Source organism: Homo sapiens, chromosome 10, assembly GCF_000001405.40.
Source record: "Homo sapiens chromosome 10, GRCh38.p14 Primary Assembly".
In the NCBI taxonomy this organism is placed as follows: Eukaryota; Metazoa; Chordata; class Mammalia; order Primates; family Hominidae; genus Homo; species Homo sapiens.
This window is the reverse complement of record NC_000010.11, coordinates 12,895,770-12,907,469: the sequence shown is the minus strand read 5'-3', so window position 1 is coordinate 12,907,469 and position 11,700 is coordinate 12,895,770. Positions and strand designations below refer to the sequence as shown.

Sequence of the window (11,700 nt, the reverse complement as noted above, 5' to 3'; positions counted from 1 at the left end):
TTTTGCCATGTTGGCCAGGCTGGTCTCAAACTCCTGACCTCAAGTGATCCTCCCACCTCAGCCTCCCAAAGTGCTGGGATTACAGGCGTGAGCCACTGCACCCGGCAAAACTAACTTTATTCCTGGGAAATGGGGCTTCACAGGGAAGATGGTGAATCCAGCTCCAGCATTAAAAGGTAGCTCCAGCTTCTTCACCGGTTTTTCATTTTCGAGTCATTGAAAATGACTTGCTTCTATTTCAACCTGCATCCCTTCATCCATTTATTAAGTGCTTACTGCATGCTAAGTGCTGGATGCAAGAATGAAAAGATGGAGCCCTTGTGTTCAAGGGACTCAGTCTGGGAGAGAGTCAGGCTAGCCAACAGTTAGAGCCCCATGCGATAAACTTGACAATGGAACCAGGAAAAGATGACAGGGCTCTTCCTTATAGGAAGACTTCAGGAGGAACCAGGAAGGCATCACAGAGGAGGTGACTCTTGAACCAAGACTTGGAGAAGAAGTAGAATGTCATCGTTTGGTTAAGGTGTGAGCAGAGATTTAGTGGAAGGAATTAGATGCAAAAAATCACAGACACTCAAGAGGACCTAGGATGCTGAGGGAGGAGGAGTTCCAGCAGCAAAGGTCAAGCTCGGGCGAACGACAATCACAAAAGCTTTGTGTGTCCTTCACCCTACACCAGGTGCTACATCAGATGCTTTACCCTTATCATCTGATTTCATCTTCAGAGCAGTTCTAGGGAAGAGGCTTTATTAGGCCCATTGTATACATGAGGAGACTGAGCCAAGACAGGTTCATTGACTTAAGCAAGACCCCACTGTCCGATGGTGGGGCTGAGTGGGCTCCCTGACCTGTGGACTCTAACAGGTATCTGGGTACGTGGAGTGTGGAATCGTTTAAGCCAGAATTCAGTCCCAGAGTTACCTGAGTCCAAAACCCCTTCCTACCCACACTGCCCGGCTACCTCCTCCCCCGGCAGCATCAGGAAGCGGACGCAGGAGAGGCTGCTGTGGCCCTGCCCAGCTAGGCCGGGTGCTGCCTCATGGAAAGGAAACTCCTGCCCCAGCCTCTTCCCTGACTCCATCTCCGCCTTCCTCTTCATTTGCCTCCCCTCCCGCCACAGCCTGGGCATGAGCGTTCCCTTTGTTTGGGCTCCTGGCACCAGGGAAGCAGCTCTTTTGACTTTGGGTGGAGCAGAGAACGAGCTGCCAAGCCACATGCAGTCATCTCAGGTTGTCCCTCCAGACAGTCCTCAGAAGAACTTCCCTGCTGTCACTTCCCAGCTTTGGGAGTTTTTTCAGCAGCTCTGGGCATCCTCCAGTGTGGTCCTGTCGAGTCATTCAGGAAACCGTTCTGCGTGGACGTGGCTCTCTGCCCACCTCCTCATAGATCTCTATCTCTAAAGGCTTTTAAAGAATGGGAGAACAAAGCTGCATTTCCAACCTGTTTATGGAAAACGCCAAAAGGCACTACGGAGGACGTGGGTAAAGGCCCATGGGCTTCCCATCAAGCTCCCCAGAGTCCCTGAATCATGTGGATAATGAAGGAATCTTGGCCTCTGCCCTCTACGGGGCCAGAAAACACAGCGCCATGTAAACTTTTCAGAATTAACCGGCCAACTGCGGGACTAGAGCAATCCCCTGCAGACCCTTATCCACACTGACAGTTGATGTTCCCAAGCAGGGCACAGGGGCTTGCTCTAGGCTCATCTGTCCAATGTCAAGGGATGCATTTTAGAAACAGTCAGTCGTGCTGGGAAGAGCTGGTTTGTTAATTTCCACCTGGAGGTTTGAAATTGGCTGCAGTACATTGAGATGGAGTCAATAGGACCTTTGACAAGGATCGTGGAGACCTTGAACCATGACCTGGCAGCCAAAGCCATCATCACAAAACAATGTCTGAAAGTGGTGGGAAAGGGGTGAGATGTGGACAGTGAGGTTCTTGGGCGTCTCTGGCACCAGGTGTTTTTTTCAAACCCTTTGCCCTTCATCCATTCTTTGCCTGTAGACCAGCTGCCCTCCAAACCCATCCTATTCCCACCTGCGTTTGCCTTGAGCCCCTCTTGAGGTTAAGATTCAGCATCTTTTCCTTGTAAAGGGCCAGATTTTAGGTTTTGTGGAAGCAGCCGTTGCAGCTACTCACCTCTGCCATTGCAGCACAACAGCTGCCACAAACAAAACATAAACTGATGAGTATAGCTGTGGTCTAATAAAACTTTATTCACAAAAACAGGCAGGGGGCCAGATGTGGCCCATAGGCCATCGTTTCCTGATCACTGCTCTGGGTTTTCTTTTTTCTTCCTTCTCATTTTTGAATCCCGAGAACAGGAACAAAGTGTTAAAAAAGCAAGCTATTTGTCTGTGTTGTTGCTTTTGGACTGTTCTTCCTTTATATTTTTACGTTTCAGAAAGTACACTTTGTCTTGTCTTTATACGTGGTTATTTAAATTAAAAGCAGCTGTGAAAGGCAAGAATCCTCTCGGTGACTCTTTGGCATGTCTGGTGCCATGAGATATTTTTTTAAAAAAACATACTGTCTTTTTGTTTAGCTTGATACAAACTTGCTATATTCCAGAATAACTGGGGGGGACTTTCTGCACCATACAGTGCCAGGCACACAATAAATGCTTCTTGCCAGAATGAATGAACATATGGAAGCCAAAACGCTTTGGAAATGAGAGGTGATTCTAGATGGTATCATGGATATACTTCCTTAACTGCTCAAGATGTTGATGGTGAAACTTTCTCACACCTGAGCTTCCCGGAGAAACCAGGAAACTTATAGGAAGACTTCAGGTGGAGGCTCCGGGTAAAGAGCTCTCCACGGATTTGTCCCGTCACTGGAGACAGGTGACCCAAAAAGGCCACATTAAGGCCACTCAATCTCATGGATGCATGAGCACCCCATCTTGCCATCCCTCCCCATTGGCCTGTGGTCCTAAGGATAGAGGAGGATTAATAACTAGTGAGCCTGAGCCAGTCTTTTTTTTTTTTTTTTTTTTTTTAAGACTGGCTTTTGCTCTGTAACTTAGGCTGGAGTGTAGTGGTGCAATCATGGCTCACAGCAGCCTCCACCTCCCAGGCTCAAGTGATCCTCTAGCTTCAGCCTCCCAAGTAGCTGGGACCACAGATGTGCACCACTATGCCGGGCTATTTTTTATTTTTATTTTTTAGAGATGGGGTCTCCCTGTGTTTCCCAGGCTGGTCTCAAACTCCTAGGCTCACGCAGTCCTCCCACCTCAGCCTCGCAAAGTGCTGGGATTACAGGCGAGAGCCACCATGCCCGGCCTAGTGAGCCAGTCTTGCCTAGTGAGTTAGTCCTCGTGGCCAAGTGGAACCACCAGATGCTCCCTCCTCCAGCTCCCATGAAATACTCACGGGAAGTGTACAGACCGATGACTGGAAAAGAATCATGATAAAATGAAAAGGGGAAAAAATTAGAACAGAAAACTGAGTAACAGCAGGACTCCAGTTTTCTTTGAAATAGTTATCTATTTATACCCGTAGGAACAATACTAGGAAGAAATGTTACAATGTCCACAGTGATTATCTCTGTACCATAGAATCATTGATGATTTTGATTTTCCTTTTGTTGGTCCCATATTTTTAAAAAATGTTTTTTCTACAATCAGTGTGCTTTGATGGTTTTAAAAAGTGTTATTTTAGACAGATAAGGAAGTATGGATATCCCAGCCTAACTTTTGTCTTTTCGAAAATAAAAGAGCAGGCTCCCAGGGCAATCTTCCCATCTGCCCTTAGGCAGGCATCCTATTGGCCACATGGAAACTTCCAGAGAAAAGCTCTGGGCAGGCAAATGCCAGAGGTACCCAAGCACCTGGGAGGCGCTGAGTGCTGCAGGCCTGAGCGGGGCCTGCCTATGAGGAGTCTGTTGCTTTGGGGCTGCCCTGTAGGACATTCTCTTTGGTTCTTCTTCAAAGAAAATATGGCAGTACCTGTTTCAGCTTGGCCTGGCCTTTCCCTGCTCTTCTCAGTTTACCAAAAAATACCACAAAGCAAATTGAGCAAATAGCGTATCTGGACCTTTTTTTCTTTTTAAAGCAGTTTTAAAAGGAGATGGATTTCATTTGGAAAGCATTCCAAAGAAAGCATTTCTTAAAGAAACACACATTTTGGAAAGCACAGCTCTCCTCTAGAAATTCTTGCTTTCTTAAACACAGGATTTTCTTTTGAGGTGATAGCTGGGATGCCAGAGGGCTCCATCGGCTCCATCAGCAGTGGCTTGGTTATTTTATGGCGTTAGCCTCAATTCACATGACACAGGCTCCCCCTACTCAGAGGCATGGCCCACTTTGCTGCAGAGATACAGACCTGCCTGCTAAGCAGTCCTGGGTCATGGCTGTGCTATGTTGGTTGTCTTGGATACGTTACTAGAGTCCTTTGATGTCTTTTGCTCCTACTGAAACCCTACCCATATTAGAGGCCACGAGGACCAAAGAATGACATGTTCACCAAGGAACTCTCATCCCATCCACGCTTTTCACATTCACCTTTGCTTGGGAATTTATCATTCCCATCTCAATGATCCTCCCACTCCGGATACACACACAGATGCACTTCAAGGCGTCCCTCTGTTCCATCTTGGTTTTTACAGCCTGGGTCAAGGTCTTCCTTTTGTCTGGGCTCTAAGTCTTGCTGGAGGTGAAATTCATCCTCTTGCTAGCCTGGAGAACAGCTGTGTCCATGGTCGAGGGCTAACTGTGAAGAGTGTTGTGTCTTAGAAAGAACTCTTAACACGTGATCACTCAAGTCCCAGCATCCTCCTCTATTTTTCACGATTTTTAAACGCAGCTTCTGAACACCGCCATCGAGCCTGCCTTCAACTCTTCTTTGATGTTATGTTCCAGCCACTATTGGGTTCTGTTCTTTGAAAATTCGAGCAAGCAGTCTTCCAAAACCCCAATCCTCTTGTTGTCATGGACTTTGGACTTTTTTGTCTTGTTCTTGGTTGAAGAATCTACCATAACTTGTAGAAAACTCATGACTTAATGAGGGAGTGTCATTATACAGTGCTCAGCCTGGTACTTGGCCATATTAAAGCCTAAGTTCCATAGCTAATATCTATCCACAAGACAATAGAAATACTGTCAGTTCTCCCGGGAATTTCTCATGCCCACCTTCTCATCTTTTTGAGGGGGTCTCATTTTGGCCAGAAGAGGGCAGTGTTGCACATATGGTCTCCCCTGTAACAGCAGCTTCCCCGGGAGCCCAGAGTTTCTCATTAAATGACAGGTATTATTGGAACATTCCACTTGGCTCCTTTTTCTTAACTGTAGGCCTAAAAAGGCCAGGGCAGCAAGGATGCAAAAACCATTGTGAACCAGGCCTTCAGGAGCTTGTGACTTGTGAATGTCAAGGCCCTTGAGTCACATTCTCCTAGTGCCACCAGGTACTTGGCGTGTGGTGTGAATAGCTACGGCGTGCCATGGAGACTGGGGAGGGGGACACATTACATACACAGGGAGACCCGGTGGAAAGCATCGTGAAAGGGGACCACAGAGGGCTTCCAAGATGGCCAGGCGGAGATGGGGAGAACAGTGCTCCAGGCGGGAGGAAGAGCCTCTGGGATGAGAAAGCGCTGATGTGTTGGAGGAAGAGCTGGGTGGGACCCAGTGTGCCTTGGGTATAAAATGTGGGAACAGAAGGAAGAACACTAAGACTGGAGATGTTGGCCGGGTCCAATCACAAAAGTTAAAGGCTTTAGGAGATTTGACTCTATCCTATAATCACGGCTAACAGTTAGTGAACGTTTACTGTGCACGAGGGCATGGTTCTAAACATTTTTCAAGTAAAACTCATGAAATCCTCCCAACAACCATGATCATCCCACTGAGAGTGGCCAGGTTCCCTGAGACGTAGACTTTGGAATAAGAGGTGCAGGTGGGCCAGGTGCAGTGACTTACGCCTGTACTCCCAGCACTTTGGGAGGCCGAGGCGGGCAGATCACGAGGTCAGGAAATCGAGACCATCCTGGCCAATATGGTGAAACCCCATCTCTACAAAAAATACCAAAAAATGAGCCGGGCTTGGTGGCTCGTGCCTGTAGTCCCAGCTACTACTCAGGAGGCTGAGGCAGGAGAATCGCTTGAACCCGTGAGGTGGAGGATTGCAGTGAGCCAAGATCACGCCACTGCACTCCAGCCTGGCGACACAGCAAGACTCCATCTCAAAAAAAGAAAAGAAAAGAAAAAATAATGTAAGAGGTATAGGTGGTGTTTTCAAGAATGCTCCTGGGATTAATACCTTGGGTAGAAAAGAACAAGAACAGGCGGAGGCAGACATCAGCCTGTGATCCAGTCTCAACAAAGGCTGTAGCCTACCCCAGGACACCCAGCAATGGGGACCGCCCTTCAGAGATCTTCCAAGTTGGGATGAGGGGCCTTGGTCTTCATACCCTGGTGTCAGCCAGTCCTTGGATACAGGTGCTCCAAAGAAGGGGGCGTGACCTTGGGCAGTTCTCTTAGGTCAGGGTCAGTTTCCGGAGAGAGACTCAGCTTAGGGCTATCGGCTATCGGTCTGCAGCACTCCAAGAAGCTGGGGAAATCAATCCTTTAGTACTGAAGTGGGTTCTGGCTAATACAGACCAGAGTCCACTACTCTGAGCCTAGGAAGCTTGCCCAAGGTCTCAGGTCACTCGTCAGTGGAAGAGGCAGGACTGGAAACCAAAGCAGCCTGGCCTCAGGGTCTGAGCTCTTCACCCATCACCATCATATTGCAGTGTAGATAGTGGGGCTCGATGGAGTTTGTTTTTTTTTTTTTTTTTTTGAGATGGAGTGTCTCTTTGTCACCCAGGCTGGAGTGCAGTGGCGCGATCTCGGCTCACTGCAAGCTCCGCCTCCCAGGTTCACGCCATTCTCCTGCCTCAGCCTCCCGAGTAGCTGGGACTACAGGCACCCGCCACGACGCCCGGCTTTTTTTTTTTTTTTTTTTTTTGTATTTTTAGTAGAAATGGGGTTTCACCCTGTTAGCCAGGATGGTCTCGATCTCCTGACCTTGTGATCCGCCCACCTCAGCCTCCTAAAGTGCTGGGATTACAGGCGTGAGCCACCACACCCAGCCCGGCTCAATGATGGAGATTTCTAAGCAGAGGAAAGTTGAGGCTCAAGTCTTTCTTTGGGAATGTAGCTTCTGATGAGGTAAAATGGGAGAAAGGAGAAAGATTGGAGAATACCTCTTTTTATATATATGCTCACACACACATATAAAGGAAATGCCAGCCTTATTACTGTATTAATCCGTTCTCACACTGCTAATAAAGACATACCTGAGACTGGGTAACTTATAAAGGAAAGGTTTAATGGACTCACAATTCCACATGCCTGGGGAGGTCTCACAATCATGGTGGAGGTGAATAGGCTCAAAGTCATGTCTGACATGATGGCAGGCAATAGAGTGTTCAGGGGAACTGCCCTTTCTAAAACCATCCGATCTCTTGAGACTTATTCACTATTAGAAGAACAGCACAGGAAAAACCCACCTTCATGATTTCATTACTTCCCACTGGGTCCCTCCCATGACACATGGAGATTATAAGAGCTAGAATTCAAGATGAGATTTGGGTGGGGACACAGCCAAACCTATGAAATACAAAATTCAAAAAGTACAAAAGTGAAAATGAATCTTCTTCTTCCTGTCTTCTCTGCTCCCCGGATATGGCCACCCTTACCCGTTTCTTGCATATGCTCCCAGAGATAGTGTATGCATATTTAAACGGACACAGATGGGTACCGTATTTCGCACTCTTGGTATCACACTATACACACTGTTCTGCACAGCTTTTCAATATGAACACCACTTAGACATTGCTACACCACCATTCACACGGAGCTGTCTTGTTCCTTTAAAAACGGCAAACCTTTGCATTGTGTAGATTTACTATAATTTATGGAACCAGACCTCTCTTGATGGGTATTTTTTGTTCCCAATCTTTTAATATAATAATGCCATAATGTTTGCACATGTGGCAGCTTGCACATATGAGAGTATTTATCTGAGATAGTCCCAGAATTACTAGATCAAAGGGTATATGCAGTTATTTTGACAGAGCCAGATTGGTCTTTATAGATGTCAACACTCTACTGACAGTATGATAGCACCTGTTTTCCCAAATCCTGACTCTGAAATTTTGCCAATCTAATATGTGAAAAATAGTAATTCACCATGGCTTTCATTTGTTTTTTTTATGTTATTATGAGTGGGGTTAAGCATCTTTTCATGCGTTTAAGAGATACTGGCGTTTTCTTTCCTGTGAACTATCCACCTTCTGTGTGCTGGCCAGCCCAGCTAAAGGGAGCAAAGAGAGTCTGTTTTTGCTGAAGGGAACCCCTCCCTTCAGTTGGACAGGCCAGCATTGATCAGAGCCTTCGCGAATGTAAGTGGCTCAGCCTTTGTTAATTAGGCCACCTGACTCCCCCCATTCCCGGAACTGTCCACCTTCTGTGTGCATTTCTGGTTTTGGTCTTCTACCAAAGCGGGGCTCTTTCCTTTTTGCTACGCATGACAAATATTCAGAATATCATTTGAAAACGACATCTTCCAAGGAAGCCAAGTATGGAAAGCAAAACGGGGGCTCTGTATTTGAGGCCAGGGCAGGATTCACAGGGTGGAGGGCGGGGAATGTCACCGTCAAGGACATCCTGGGGTTTATGCCCATGCTGGGGTGGGGAATCGGGGTCTGTGTTGCTGTCAGCACTCGGGGAAGCTTCTGGGACTCCCCTGGCCGCAGCGCAGTTTCTGGGACTCACCTCCTCTCCTTGCACGCTGTCTCTGCCTCCAGCTCATGTGCTCCTCGGTGCAGAAGGCCTTGTTTGAGGAGGAGGACCACGTCAAGAAACTGCAGCAGAAAGTGGCCACCCTGGAGAAGCGCAACCGGCAGCTCCGGGAGCGAGTGAAGAAGGTCAAGAGGTCCTTGCGGCAGGCGCGTAAGAAGGGCCGCCACCTGGAGCTGGCGAACCAGAAACTCAGTGAGAAGCTGGCGGCGGGCGCGCTGCCGCACATCAATGCCCGGGGGCCCGTGCGCCCCCCCTACCTGCGGGGGTAACGGGCCTGGGGGCTGCCAGGTGTGCAGGGCCAATCCTGACGGTAATTGAGAATGAGTGAGGTTTCGTACATGCAGCTATTTCAAGGGTTGTAAGAGTTTTTGTTTTTAATCACGCATTTGGTAGAGTCTAAATGGATAAAATGCAAGGCTTGCTTTCCCCTTGGGTGCTGGCCTCAATGTCAGACCCCACGCGCTGCCCCTTCCTGGCCTGACCCCAGACGCAGTGCCTGGCAGTCCAGAGGCAGTGGGATCCCTGAGTGCTGAATGCTCGCCTGCAGAGCAGCCCAGAAAGAGCCCTGACTGGGGAGAGAACATTTTAGAATCTCTAGTGTAAAAGACATCAACGTGCTTAGCCTTTATTTCAGAAAAAAATCAGGGTGGTTCCCAGCTCCCCAGTCCAGGACAACCATTAGTCCTGATGAGTGAGCTGACGCTGGTGCTGGAACCTGCTGGCACCTCACTGGCCACATCTTTGGAAGGGGATGGTGGCCTTGCATCCAAGATGCCTGAAAATCAGCACGTGCAGGGCCTCCCTATCCAGCCAGCATTTTCCTTCCAGCTGAGGCAGGTGAAGACTTCATAAGCTCATCACAGGGGAGGGAATTAGGAGCAGGGCAGCAGGTAATTAAACAAGATAAATTATACCTGATTTCCAACACCAGCTACAAAGAGTTGAAGATGATACCTATGGGTCGCGTTAACACAGGGGGCAACTGCCTTGATCGGCCTGCCATGGGTCATCAGACTGCTTCCTAAATTGAGAGAAACTGAGCAATCTCTCAGCCACTGCTATAGTCTAACTTCTTGTTTGCTGAGTAATTGTTTCTAATGTCTCTGAACTCAAAGTGAGGTGCTCCAAGACGCTGTGAACTTCTGCAAAGACACCTCCTTACCTACTGGGATCACGTGACCTGACCTCACTCCCAGCCAGGCTCCCAAAGGGCTCATTCCAGCCATTCCAATCTCTTCTTCTTTATGCAAACACTTTTCCCCCACAACAAGCCTTGTTTGTTCCGATAGGAATACGTGTACGTCAGTGCACTTGTCCTTACGTCAGTTCCTTACACCACCAAAGCACTTCACCTTTCTGGAAATAAAACTTTTAAGACACTACTATAAGTAAAAATGAGAGTATTCACTAGACTTATTGCTCAGGCACATTTGAGTGGGTCCCAGCTGTGTGATTAAGAAGTCAACTGGGTGGCCTTTTCTGGGTTATCTTCTGATCATGGCCTTTCAACCCAACAAGGGCCCTTCCCTGCTCTTCCACCAGTAAAGGCTCCTGGCCTCTCATCAGGATCTGCCCCCCAGAGACCCCCCCCAGACACTGCAGGGCCTGGTGATGCTGTCCTCTGTACCGGAAATGGCAGGCACTGTCAGATTTCCACTCTTCTGCCTTTAGGAAGGCTGGGTGCTTCTTGCTCTGACAGCCAGTCTGGGGAGATGACTCTTACGTTGCTTGAGTCTTGGTGGCAGGCTGCTGTCCACGGGGGAGAAGTCTCTGCTCTGGACTGGACAGAAGAGAGACTTTTACCCTGGGGCACTCACACGGCCAAGCTTCTGCCACCACTTCATTAGCTGTATTCTCCATAGTATGGTGAAATAGCAGGTGCGTCTTCTAGTTTATTCCTCCTGGGGACATTTCCTCAAAGCAGTTTTGCGCCCCCGCAAGGGAATGGTCAGCCTAAGGGTAATGTACAGCCCGTGCTTGGAGAACCATGGAAGCTACACCCCTACAGGTGCATACTGTTCTGCTTTTCCAATAAATACGAGCGGCGATTTCAACCACAACAGTGAGATGATGAGTGTTTCTTTTGGGTCAGGGAGATTTCAGGATTTCCAGCTTTGGCCTGGAAAAGTGATTTAGATCCTCTGGGGGGAATGCCTGTGAGTAACACCTGGGGCACTGAGGAGCCTGAATTCAAGCCTGCTCTGCTGGCCCTGTCTGGATGTGGCCTCACCCCATCTCGCCCTGGGGTTTCCGTTTCTCAACACACCTGCAGAAAAGCAGTGTTCTCCTGCCTGGCTCCTCACAAGGGACAAGCAGCAACATTAATCAATGTCTTCAGAAAAACACAGAGGATCCCCAGGTCCCTGTTACCTGCTGCACTGTCATCTTATGCTACCCTTGTCATCTGTTAATTGTAGGAATATATTATGCTTCACACTCTAATAATTACTCCGACCTTGATGCACTGTAGCCAGCCTGTCCGGGCACTATCTCCAAGATCCAGACCATTGTTTACTTTCCCTCTGTGGTACAAGGAGCCCAGGAGACTTCCAAACTCAACTCACATAACAAGAGCCAGGTAGAGTCTAGAATCTTCAAACTGCAGTTTCCAGAAATCAAGATAGCAGCATGTGGGCCATAGCTAGCAGGGGTTTAAATTCTTGACCTACAGGAGTTTGAGAGCAGCCTGGCCAACATGGTGAAACCCTATCTCTATTAAAAATACAAAAATTAGCAGGGCATGATGGTGGGTAGTCCCAGCTACTCAGGAGGCCGAGGCAGAAGAATCACTTAAATCTGGGAGGCAGAGGTTGCAGTGAGCTGAGATTGTACCACGGCACTCCAGCCTGGGCAACAGAGTGAGACTCCATCTCAAAACAAAAACAAAAGAAAAATAATTCTTGGCCTAAGCCATG

The 11,700-nt window shown here is 48.2% G+C and overlaps 1 protein-coding gene across 2 annotated transcripts in view; it reads left to right on the top strand.

Moving 5' to 3' along the window:
- The window catches only part of CCDC3 (coiled-coil domain containing 3), a 203,365-nt gene extending 192,520 nt beyond the window's left edge, over nucleotides 1–10,845 (top strand). For both annotated transcript variants that reach the window (NM_001282658.2, NM_031455.4), the window contains one exon: nucleotides 8,791–10,845. In NM_001282658.2, the coding sequence (NP_001269587.1) occupies nucleotides 8,791–9,054 (264 nt within the window). In that variant the 3' untranslated portion in view covers nucleotides 9,055–10,845. The remainder of the gene's footprint in view (nucleotides 1–8,790) is intronic.
- Nucleotides 10,846–11,700: the final 855 nt, after the last annotated feature.